At 34.5% G+C, this 12,337-nt stretch overlaps 1 long non-coding RNA gene across 2 annotated transcripts in view; it reads left to right on the top strand.

Annotated features, from left to right (window-relative positions):
• LOC105373710 (uncharacterized) overlaps positions 1–12,337 on the top strand; it is an 87,864-nt gene that overhangs the window by 72,190 nt on the left and 3,337 nt on the right. The window contains exon 3 of one of the 2 annotated variants that reach the window (XR_923509.3): positions 11,180–11,331. The exons of the other annotated variant lie outside the window; for it this stretch is intronic. This is a non-coding gene — a long non-coding RNA (uncharacterized LOC105373710). The remainder of the gene's footprint in view (positions 1–11,179; positions 11,332–12,337) is intronic. 2 annotated transcript variants of the gene reach the window in all.

Raw genomic sequence — 12,337 nt, 5'->3', positions numbered from 1 at the left:
TCCACCTGTCTCTTTTGTTACCTCTCTGAGGTTATCTCTTTGAGCCTCTTTGGATACCGCTCTGGCTCTTCCATCCTTAGGTATTTGTAATTTTTATCTCAGTCCCAAATAAGCCATTTAATAATGCCAAGAGGACCATTTTCAATGGAATGTTACTATGATTTACTCGGTCTGCAAATGTATTATTTAGGTAAGGGAAAGAGGATTTTCCTGTACATCACACAGAAGTTGGCCCCATGCACTTAATAAAAGCTCATTATGGAAAGATTATAAACGTATAACAATACATTTTAAGTGAGATGCAATGATCCATAAAATTGGCGTGGCTAATTAGCAGATCAAATCTCTGTAAGAATTGGATGTCTTTAATATCCTGCAGTTGCTTAATTCTATAGGTATTTTACTATCCACAAATGTTTAGGAAAATTAAATAATAGTATAAATGTTCAGTGGGATGAAAGCAGCTGTAAAATGAAACCAAATAAAATGAGTTTATTTTGTTAATAGAATAAAGAGAATCTCAGTGTTAATATAACATTACACAAAATCTAGAGCAAACATCCTCTGAATCCCAGCCTCATTTCACATGTAATTAACCTTTCTCAATCAAGCTAAGCATCCCTCACACCTCCTTCTCAACTGCTGCACATCCACATCTCTTCTTTCACGTGAATAAAAGTCAGGCATCAATTTAGATTAGTAATACTGCCTTATACTGTGCCTCCAGAGCAACGTCATCCCAAGAATATTTTGAATTCCAATTATTTCTCCCAGTTCATATGTATATTTTACAAATCTTGTTTCTTCTTCAGGAAGTAGGAGACATTTGATGCTAACGGATAATCTGTTTTAATAGTAAAATCTCAACTATTAGTCACCACTCAGGTGGATGTGTCTTATATATTGGTCTTCTAGCAGCCACCAACTGCTTTTTGGTAAATGTTAACAATTTGAGTGTAGTAATCCACTCCTTTGGGTTGGATTCCATCCAGTGTATACACAGATAGAATACATTACACCTAGGCTTAGGTTAATCATCACAGTTATCCTGGCCTCAGTGATTTGTAAACAAATGGGTGTAAGACTCAAGTTGCACCAATCAGGGTGATTATAATGGTAAGTGTTAAGAGCTACTGGGAAGGGAATCTTTCTCTTTCTCTTTGGACCTAAAGTTGAGAGAATGTGAGGCTATCACTGCTGTAGCAATTCTACTACTACAGATCCAGAGATTAAAGCCAGCACATGGAGGAGAGCTCAACCAGGAGCAGGGAGAAACCACATCCTGCTAATTTTTGAGTGTATATAGAGCCATTTCTGAAGCCCGTTTTACCCCGAGTTTTTCCAGTTACATGAGTCAACAATTTTTCTTCTTTTAGTTTGTACAGTGTTTTTTATCATAACCAAAAGAGTTCCAAATTATACAACATTAGGCCAATGTGTGGTAGTAATATAGCTAAAATTGTAGGCTGAGAAATCATACAAACTTGGGTTTTAATTCCAGTTCAGCTACTAACTTCCCGAATTTTCTTTGGCAAATAGCTTAAGCTAAGGATATGATACAGTTCTTCCAGTGTTTAAGTGTCTATGAAAGCTTTGTTGTAACTATTAAATTACATGTACATGAATTTTGCATAAAAGTCATGTGAGTACTCAATAAATAGTAGTTATAATTTTTATAAAATTGCTTTTGCAGAGATTTTATTAAAAACTAAGAGCTATGAAAGTGTTCTTACTTCAGTAAAACTCAGTCTTATTCTAGATTATTGATTAAGTTTACCTGTATACTAAAGTATTTCTGGTTCTGGAAATGTGTTTAGCCTTGCAATTTAGAGGCTTGGGAGGGTCAGGAAGATGAAACAAAATTCTGTTCTGAAAAACAGATAAAGTCATAAGCTTAAAATGGACACCTATTGTTACCAGCATTGCTCAACTGTTTAGAAGTGAAGTGAAGTTGGCCAGGCGCAGTGGCTCACGCCTGTAATCCCAGCACTTTGGGAGGCTGAGGTGGGCAGATCACGAGATCAGGAGATCGAGACCACCCTGGCTAACATGGTGAAACTCCGTCTCTACTAAAAAACAAAAAATTAGCCTGGTGTGGTGGCAGGCACCTGTAATCCCAGCTACTGGGGAGGCTGAGGCAGAAGAATGACGTGAACCCGGGAGGCGGAGCTGGCAGTGAGCCGAGATCACGCCACTGCACTCCAGCCTGGGTGACAGAGTGAGACTGTCTCAAAAATAAAGAAGTGAAGTGAAGTAAAGTGAAGTGAAATGAAATGAAGTAACTTACACTGGGTAGATCAATGGGATTTGCAAAAAGCATACACAAAATGATAGACAGGAACATCACTTCAAAAGGTCCAATGAGTTTATGTTTTAAGGCACATTTCTAGTCTACTCATAAGATCAAGCAATAAGCTATAAGATTAGACATAAGAGCACTGAGGTATGCATCTCTAAAGATCAGAAAAAGAAAAAAATAATAATGATAAAGCTACAAGATTTGTGGGCTGCAGACCTAGAAGTATGTAAAAGCAGTCAGACTTTGGCACCTATGGCTCAAAGAAGGCTGAAAAGTATTTCCCAGTAGATAAAGAACAAGAGTCAGACTCACTTTTTAAAATTAGTAACTATTGCTAAATTCCATTTGGATTCTGTTGTAGCAAGCTGGGCCTAGAGATGAGGGAACAAAGAGTGTCTCCTGACCAGAAATTGAACAAAGTAGTTCACTAGAATGATGATTGTGTATATACCGTCTTTTACATTATACTAAAACAGAAATCCTTAAGTGTTGTTTCTGTACTAAGGGCATAGGAGCCTGGTGAGAAAACTTCAAAAACCACTGCTAAAAGAAATGTGAGCAGAGAAAGAGAAAAAACAAACAAACAAAAATTTCATTCACAATAGCCTACTATCATAAGTTGATCTTAAGTAAATTTAACTTTATGTCACAATCTGAAAAATAATTTGAAGTAAAAATGTTGACTTGAGTGTGCTCAGAGATATAGTTATAACTTTCATTTTAATAAACAAAAAATTATAACACTAAAATAGCTGTTCGTGCAGCAAAAAGGAGTGGATATAAAAAATTAATTAGAGAATTTGGAATTGATATAGATGGTTAAGTTTTTAACTTGTCACAATAGACACTACAACTTTACATTAGATACAATTTTAAAAAGACATTGGAATTTTATGCTAAAAAACTTATCTGGATTGTAACACAGAAAAATAGAGGTAAAAGTTGAAAAAGCAGTTCTGAAAGCACATAGAGGAGCTCCAATATTAATTCCGGAATGAAATTTTGAAATTTGTAAAAGAATAATATTTAAAGAAGTAACAGCTAAAACTTTCCAGAATTAAAAAAAATAAAATTGTAAGACTTACCAAGTCCTGAGTAGGATGAACAAAAATAAAAGCATCCTTAGTCACATTTCAATGATGCTGCATTATCAAAGATCAAGGGAAAAAAAATCTTAAAACGTTTAGAAAATATGTATTATTTACAATGGTATTAAAACAAAAATCTCAACAGCAAGAATAGATGCCAGTAGATAATACAGTAATATCTCTGAAGCGCCTAGGAAAAATTATTGTCAACCTGGAATTCAATATAAAGTTGATTACCATCAAAATGAGGAAGAAATAAACATTATTACATTCAGAAAAATAATCACTTACATATTTTTGCTGAAGGAACTAGTATTAATAGAATTATTTACTTAGGAAAAAGTTACATGACTTCAAAGGGAAGAGGTGAGAAAAATAATAACGAACACAGAACTTTATTAAAATTATCAGTAAATGTAAAACAAGTAGAGCTTTTGTATCAATAGAAAAAAACATGAAAATGTCTAGGCAATGTTGACAAGATTGAGTGTTAATGAGATGCTCTGTGGAAAACTAAAATGTGTTAAGATCTCTGTCATGCTTAGGTGAATAAAATAATAAATAACTTTAGACTGTTATTAAGAAAAACCTACTTAGGTATTTATGTATTTTTTAAAATAGGTATAATAATTAAAAGAATGAAAAAAATTATAAAGCTTCCAAACTAATAAAATTAATATAGCAGAACTATTCAATTCTACTGAAGGTAGAAAGAGAAAGGAATAAAATAGAAAATTAATAGCAAAGAAATTTAAATTAAAAATCAAGTAAAAATAAGTGCAAACATATCAGTAGACATATTAAATAAAATGCATTAAACTTACATATTAAAGGATTGAAGGGAGATGACATCAGAAAGATGGAATATAAATCCTCAGCCCTTGTTCTGTCACCAAAACACCAACTTAAAAATATATATTAAATAAAATACTTTTATGAGAATTCCAGAATCCAGTTAAGAGGCAGTACCTCAGGCAAACACAAAGCCAAGAACAGTCATAATAAAATAATAAGTAAGAAGAGCAATTTCATTTTACCCACATCAGCTCCTACCCCAAAGCAGTACAGCTCAGCACCAGGAGAGGACAGCTTAGTTTGGAAAGAGAAGGGTGGAAGGAGTGTCCAATGTTTGGCTTTTCGAAGGGCTGCCTGAGGGATTAATTTCTGTCTTGCTCCATTTGAAGTGCTGATGGAACTGGCATGTTTGGATGCCTGGAAGAAACTGAGAACAAAGAAGGGGGAAAAGTGATGGAAGAGGCTTACTGTGGCCAGCACAGTTGGGTTTAATTATTGCATAACTCAAGGCTTCCTCCTTAGAAAGCAGGGAGATGGGTAGAGACTGAATCTGACATGCCAGGTCTTTTGAGGGATGTCCAAAGAACTGATACCTGTTTTGTCTGACTTGGGACGCTGACAGGGAGCTGGCATAGTTTGGATGCCTGGAGGCCACTGAGAATAAGGGTGAGCAGTGAGGCTTGCTGCAGTAGAAGCATAGAATCTGCAGTGCCATAGACAAATGCCAGAGGGATTGAAGGATCACGAACTACTGAAAAAGAAACCAGTGTCTCTTTAATTGAGCAACTGTATGCACAGAACTAGAGAAGTTAGATCTCCCTAAAAAGGTTTAGAGGCTCCAGAATCTCTAGCCAGACTGAATGGTGAGGTTTTTTTTTTTCCTTTACAAATCCAGTCCATAAAGACTGGGAAAATATGTTCCACTAGTTCAAGAAAACCATGCATGATCAAAATTACACTATCAACAGAGAAAAAGGAATATAAAAGAGAACCGAGTAGATATTTTGGAGCTGAAGAACACAGTAATTCACTAGAGTAGTTCAAAGAAGACTTGATCAAGCAGAAGAAAGAATCAATGAACTCAAATATGGGTCATTTGAAATTATCCAGCTAGAAGAACAAAAGGGAAAAATAATGGTAAGGAAGAATGAAGGCCTAAGGGACTTAAGGGGTACCATTGAGAGAACCAATATGTGCATTATGAAATATTCAGAAAGAAAAGAGAAAAAGAAAGGACAAGGAAGTTGATTTTTAAAAAATAATGGATGAAAACTTTTCAAATCTAAGGAAGGATTCGAGAAGCCAAACAAATTCTCTTACTGCAACTAACTCAGAGAATTCACAGACAGGAACATTATTATTACAAATGATCACAATGATTATTTTGTGAAAAGTCAAAGACAAAGAGATAATTTTCAAAACAGCAAGAGAAAAAAGCAACTCATCACATACAAGGGAAACTCTCCTCATTCTCCTCCATAAGATGATGAGTAGATTTCTCTGCAGAAATGTTTCAGGGTAGAAAGAAATGGGATGACATATTCAGATCATTAAGAGAAAAAAAATACTGTCAATCAAGAATACTAAAGTCATCCAAACTATCTTTTGAAAATCAAGCAGAAATGAAGACTGCCAGATAAACAAAAGCAATGGAGTTCAACCGCAGTAGACCTGCCTTATAGGAAATACTAAAGGGAGAACTTTCAAGTTGAAACAAAAGGATACTAAATAGCAACACAAAAAATTGAAAATATAAAGTTTTCTGATAAAGGTAAATATATAGACAAATACAGAGTATTGTTATACTGTAATGGTGGCAAGTAAATCCTTTTTAGTTATAATATAGAAGTCAAAAAACAAAAAATAGGCCGGCTCAGTGGCTCATGCCTGTAATCCCAGCACTTTGGGAGGCCAAGGCAGGCGGATCACGAGGTCAGGAGATCGAGACCATCCTGGCTAACACGGTGAAACCCCGTCTCTACTAAAAACACAAAAATATTAGCCAGGCGTGGTGGCAGGCGCCTGTAGTCCCAGCTACTCAGGAGGCTGAGGCAGGAGAATGGCGTGAACCCAGGAGGCAGAGCTTGCAGTGAGCTGAGATCGCACCACTGCATTCCAGCCTGGGTGACAGAGTGAGACTCCATCTCAAAAATAATAATAATAATAAAAATTTAAAAAAGAAATATGCAACTCAAAAATACATTAGTGGTTACATAACATAAAAAAGATGTAATTTGTGACATCAGTAATAAAGTGTGTGTGTGAGAAGTAAAAGTGTAAAATACTTGCATGCAATTAAAGTTAAGTTCCTGTTATCTTAAAATGGATTGTTATAAATATAAGAAATTTTACATAATCCCCATGGTAAAAACAAAGATAATACCTATAGAAGATGCACAAAGGATATGAAAAAAGTATAAAAGCATGTCAGTACCAAAAAAAATTAGTGAAACATGAAGAAAGACAGTAATAGAGAAAAAGAAGAACAAAAAACCTTATAAGATGAACAGAAAAACAATTAACAAAGTGGCACTAGTAAGTCTTTCTCTATCAATAATTACTTTAAGTATAAATGGATTAAGTTTCCTATTAAAAGGCATAGAGACAACATAGATTTTTTTAAAAATCCAACTATATGCTATCTACAAGAGACTCACTTTAAATTTAGGGACACATAAAGCCAGGCACAGTGGCTCATGCCTATAATACCAGCAGTTTTGGAGGCCAAGGCAGGAGGATCTCTTGAGGTCAGAAGTTTGAGACAAGCCTGGCCAACATGGTGAAACCCCGTCTCTACCAAAAATATAAAAAATTAGTTGGGTGTGGTGGCTTGCACCTGTAATCCCAGCTACTTGGGAGGCTGAGACAGGAGAAATGCTTGAACCCAGGAGGCAGAGGATGCAGTGAGCTGAGATTGCACCACTGCACTCCAGCCTCAGTGACAGAGCAAGATGCAGTCTCAAAAAAAATTAGTTAATTAATTAATTAATTTAAGGACACACATAGGCTGAAAGTGAAAGAACGGATATAGATATTCTACGCAAATGGCAACAAAAAGAGCAAGGGTGGCTTTACTTATATAAAACAAAATAAACTTTAATTCAAAAAATGTCAAAAGAGACAAAGGAGGACATTATATAATAAAAGGATCAATTCTTTAAGATATAACAATTATAAACATATATGCATACAAAATCAGACACCAAAATACATGAAACAAACATTGGCTGAACTGAATATAGAAATGGACGATGATACTTAATAATAAGGATTTCAATACTTCACCTTCAATAGAAGATAGAATATCTAGACAGAAGATCAATAAGGGATCAAAGATCAAAGAAATCAATACTATAGACCAAAGGGACCTAACAGAAATATACAGAACATTTTACACAATAGCAGCAAAATACTCATTCTTCCCAAGTGTGCACATAACATTATTCAAGATAGATCATAACTGAGCTCAAAAATCAAGTCTTAACAAATTTTAAAAGATTGAAGTTATATCAGATGTCTTTTCTGACCACAGTGAAATGAAACGAGAGCTCAAAAGGCAAGTCTTAACAAATTTTAAAAGATTGAAATTATATCAGGTATCTTTTCTGACCACAATGAAATGAAACTAGAATTAATGGCAGAAGGAAAATTAGAAAAAATACAAATAGATGGACATAAAACAACACACTTTTGAGCAACCAATGGCTCAAAAAAGAAATCTAAAGAGAGATTAGAAATAATCTAAGACAAATGGAAATGAAATTGCAACATACCAAAACTAAGGGGAGGCAGAAAAAGCAGTACCAAGAGGGAAATGTATAGTGATAAATGCCCACATTAAAAAGAAAAAAAAACTCAAATTAACAACCTAAATTTACATTTTAAGAAATTCAAAAATAGATGGAAATAAGGCCAAAGTGAGCAGAAAGAAGGATACAATTAAGATAAGAACAGAAATAAATGAAATAGAGAATAGAAAAAAATCAACAAAATTAAGTTGGTTTTTTTAAGATCAACAAAGAACAAAACTTTCGCTACATTAATTTTAAAAAGAGAAGATATGAATACTTAAAATCAGAAATGAAAGAGGGGATATTACAACTTTTGCCACAAAAATTACAATGATTATAAGAGACTACCATCAACAATTATAGACCAGCAAACTGGATAATCTAGAAGAAATGGATAAATTCCTTAAAACATATAATCTACCAAGACTGAATATTGAAAAAAATTGAAAAGTTGAGCAGACCAATAACCAGTATTGAGATTGAATTAATTATCAAAAATCTCCCAATAATGAAAAGCCTAGGACCAGAGGGCTTCACTGGTGAATTCTGCCAATTATTCAGTCCTTCTCCAACTCCTCCAAAAACCTAAAGAGGATGCAACCCTTCTAAACTCACCTCACAATGCCAGCATCATCTTCTTACCAAACCTAGAAAAAGATACTGCAATAAAAGAAAACTGCGGCTCAATATCCCTAATGAATATAGAGGCAAAAATCCTCAACAAAATATTGAAAAACCAATTTCAACAGCATATTAAAAGGATCATATACCATGACCTAATGGAACATACCCCTGAGATGCAAGGATGGTTCAACAGGTAAAAATCAACCATTGTGATATACCACATTAATAGAATGAAGGACAAAAATTACATGATCATCTCAAAACATGCACAGTATTTGACAAAATTCAATACCCTTCTATGATAATAACACTCAACAAACTAGGAATAGAAGGAAATTACCTCAACATAATAAAAGCCATATATTAGAATCCCACAGCTAACATTTTACTCAATGATAAAAAGCTGAAAGCCTCTCCTCTAAGCTCAGGAACAAGACAAGGATGTTCACTCTCACTACTTCTATTCAACATTGTACTGGAAATACTAGCCAGAGCAATTCGGCAACAAAAAGAAATAAAAGGCATCTGAATCAGAGAGGAAGAAGTAAAATTATCTTCTTCACAGATGGCATAATCTTATACGTAGAAAACCCTAAAAATTCCACCACAATAATCCATTAGAACTAATAAAAGAATATAGCAAAGTTGGAGGACATGAAATCAACATACAAAAGTAAATGCTTTTCTATACTCTACCAATAAAAAATCTGAAAAAGAAATTAAGATAATTTCATTTACAAATGCATCAAAAAGAATAAAATAAGAATAAACTTAACCAAGGAGATAAAAGATTTGTATACTGAAAAATTACAAATGTTGTTGAAAAACAGAGCCAAATAAATGGAAAGATGTTGTGTTTATGGATCAGAAGACTTAATATTTTTTAAAATGTCTGCATACCCAAGGGAATCTACAGATTGAATCTGGTCCCTATCAAAATCCCAATGATATTTACAGAAATAGAAAAAAGAATCCTAAAATTTATTTGGACTCACAAAGGGCCTCATACAGCCAAAAGAATCATGAGAAAAAACAAAGCTGGAGGCTTTGCATTTTCTAATTTTAAAACACATTACAAAGTTACTGGCATAAAGATACTGGCGTAAAGACAAACATACAAATGGAACAGAATTGAGACTCTGAAATATACCCACACAAATATGGCCATAATTATTAATTTTAAAAAGGCTTAAAATTTATCTGAAAATGACAAAAAAAAACTCCATGTCAATACCCACATTTGAAATCTTAGTAAAACAGTTAAACACAAATTGTTAACTCAATAAAAAGAAAAATACTTAGCAAAATAATAGTCATTAAATAAGTTGAATTGACAATTCTGTTACAGTAGATTGAGAGTGGATTGGATATTTGCTTTTAATGCTGCTACTTCCAAATTCTCCACTACAATGATAGTGGAGGAATAAAGTAAAAAACTCACAGAGGCAAATTAAATAGAAGCAGCAATTGCAGCAGAAAAGATAGGTCAACAAAATATTAATAGCTGGAAAGCAAATGTACTGATGGTAATTAATTTGACAGGGTATTGAGAAAGCCTATTTGTGTCTCACAATACCCTGAAAAGTCTCAGGAACAAAAGGTTCCTGACATTGCCATATGGGAGAATATGGACTGAAAACATGAGGAATGTCTGAAAGGCTGGATAAGTTAAGTTAGTAATCTAGATGCCTTCTTGCTCATGTACAATTACAGTTAAGTATAAAGAAAGGCTGGACTAGAACATCAACCTTGGGTACTGATCCCACTTTTGGAATGTGGAGATTGGGAGATAGGGAGAGGTCATATGGAACACAATGGGTTCTAGTCAGAGTCCCTGCTCCCCAACCTGGTGCCAAGATCCCTGCTAGCCTTCCTATAGAGAGACTGGTCTAAGGGAAGGTACTTGCACCCTACCCTCAGCAAAATGGCCATGTCCCACTCAATCACTCTCCAGTGAAGCCTACTAGAGGGTATCTGAGCTTCTAATCAGCTGTCTAGTGTTTTGCTCTTAAATATGAACCAACTCCAAAGATGCCTCAACATTTGAAGAAAATCTTAAAGATGAAAACAGAAAACAAACCAAACAAACAGAAAAGCAACTCAGAGAAAGCAGAGAATAGACCAATACATAGAGATTGAGAGTAAAAAATATTTAAAGCATGTGCTCACGAACTATAGAAAGATTTAAAAACATCCATGGAAGAAGTTGTACAAAAGTAATGTTTACAAAACAATGCCCTCCAAAAAATCTTGATTATTAAACATGAGATAGAAAATATTTAAAAATAAGTAGAAAAGTTGGAAGACAAAGTAGAAAAAAATCTCCCAGAAACTAAACTAAAATGACAGATTCAAAATATGAGAGAAAATTTGATAATTGTTTAAGGAGTTCTAATATATGGATGGTAGGAATTCCAGAAGATAGGGACAAATAAAATGGAGACGGTTGTGGTTATCAGAGAAATAAAATAGAAATTTCCAAGACATAAGGCTATGAATTTCAGTATTGAAAGGTCCACTGAGGGTTTAGCATGAAAAAGGGGAAAAAGACCACCTCAATGGATATTATTGTGAAATTTCAGAATGCTTGTAGTAAATCAGGTATACCAGAAACCCTGGCCACAGAAAAAGCAGAGCCACACTGAGAGCTGACAGTGGCAATGGGGACCCCACAAGGACAACTGTACTGCTGATTACAGAACAACCAGTCCAGATGGAGCAGGAGGACCCACAGGTATGCATCAAAGAAAAAAAAATATATCACCTGATGAATTTGTGTATAGAGAGTCAGAGGGTGCATCCAGGAGAAGAACACTGAAAAGCAAGCAGGCAAAGAAAAAAATACCCAAGAAATTATTAACTCCAAGGATGATAAATATTGCATTCATAAGTTATTCATAGTCCATTATGTTGCTCAGCTGTGAATAATATTTACAAAGACAAAATAATGTAAACACTGAAATAATGGATTAAACTGAGATAATGATGTAACTATGGTGTGTATTAATATTGACTGTGTATATTAGAGAGGAGAGGAGTTGCAGGGAGTGACAAAGGTAAGCAGGGGGATGGAGAGGTGCAGAATGTAAGAGAATTAAGTCTTCCTCATACATAGACAATAGATAATATTCTTCACCTCAGCAACAACATTTAATTCCAGTTAAATTCAGTTTTGAGTTTCATCCTGACTTGCAAAAGCAGTCTTATTGCAAGGGCCTTTAGAGACACCCAGTAGTCTGCTGGCATCCCCTCCTCAGAGATCTGAGTTCCAACCCCATGGGACACCCCTTCCAAACTTCAAACAATTCTAACCTCTTCACTCTGTTCCAATAGCCACAGGGTGGGTAACTGCTTCGTGTAGTCAGTACCTTTTTGGTAACTTAATTTTCTTTTTAGCCTTTGCAGTTACTTAGCTAATTATTATTTATATCTGGTTAACAATTCTTTGTATTAATTTTTTTCTGATGAACCAGTTGGTATGATTTCTATCTCTTGACTAGACTGGGACTGAAAAAAAAATCTAAAACTGAAAATGAACAACAGCAATACACATCTCCTGAATACAAATATAGAGTTAAAATATCAGTTAAAACTACTAAAAGAGTTGTAGGTAGTTAGTGCTGGTTGTTTTTGTTTGTTTTGTTTTGTCTGGAGTAGAACACTTATTTCAAAAGAAATCTTTCAAGAAAGCACTGTATTTAAAAGATAAAGTGGAACTTCTCTCATGGATAGGTTGAATC

This window comes from Homo sapiens, chromosome 2, assembly GCF_000001405.40.
Source record: "Homo sapiens chromosome 2, GRCh38.p14 Primary Assembly".
Classification (NCBI taxonomy): Eukaryota; Metazoa; Chordata; class Mammalia; order Primates; family Hominidae; genus Homo; species Homo sapiens.
This window is presented reverse-complemented; position numbering and strand designations above follow the sequence as displayed.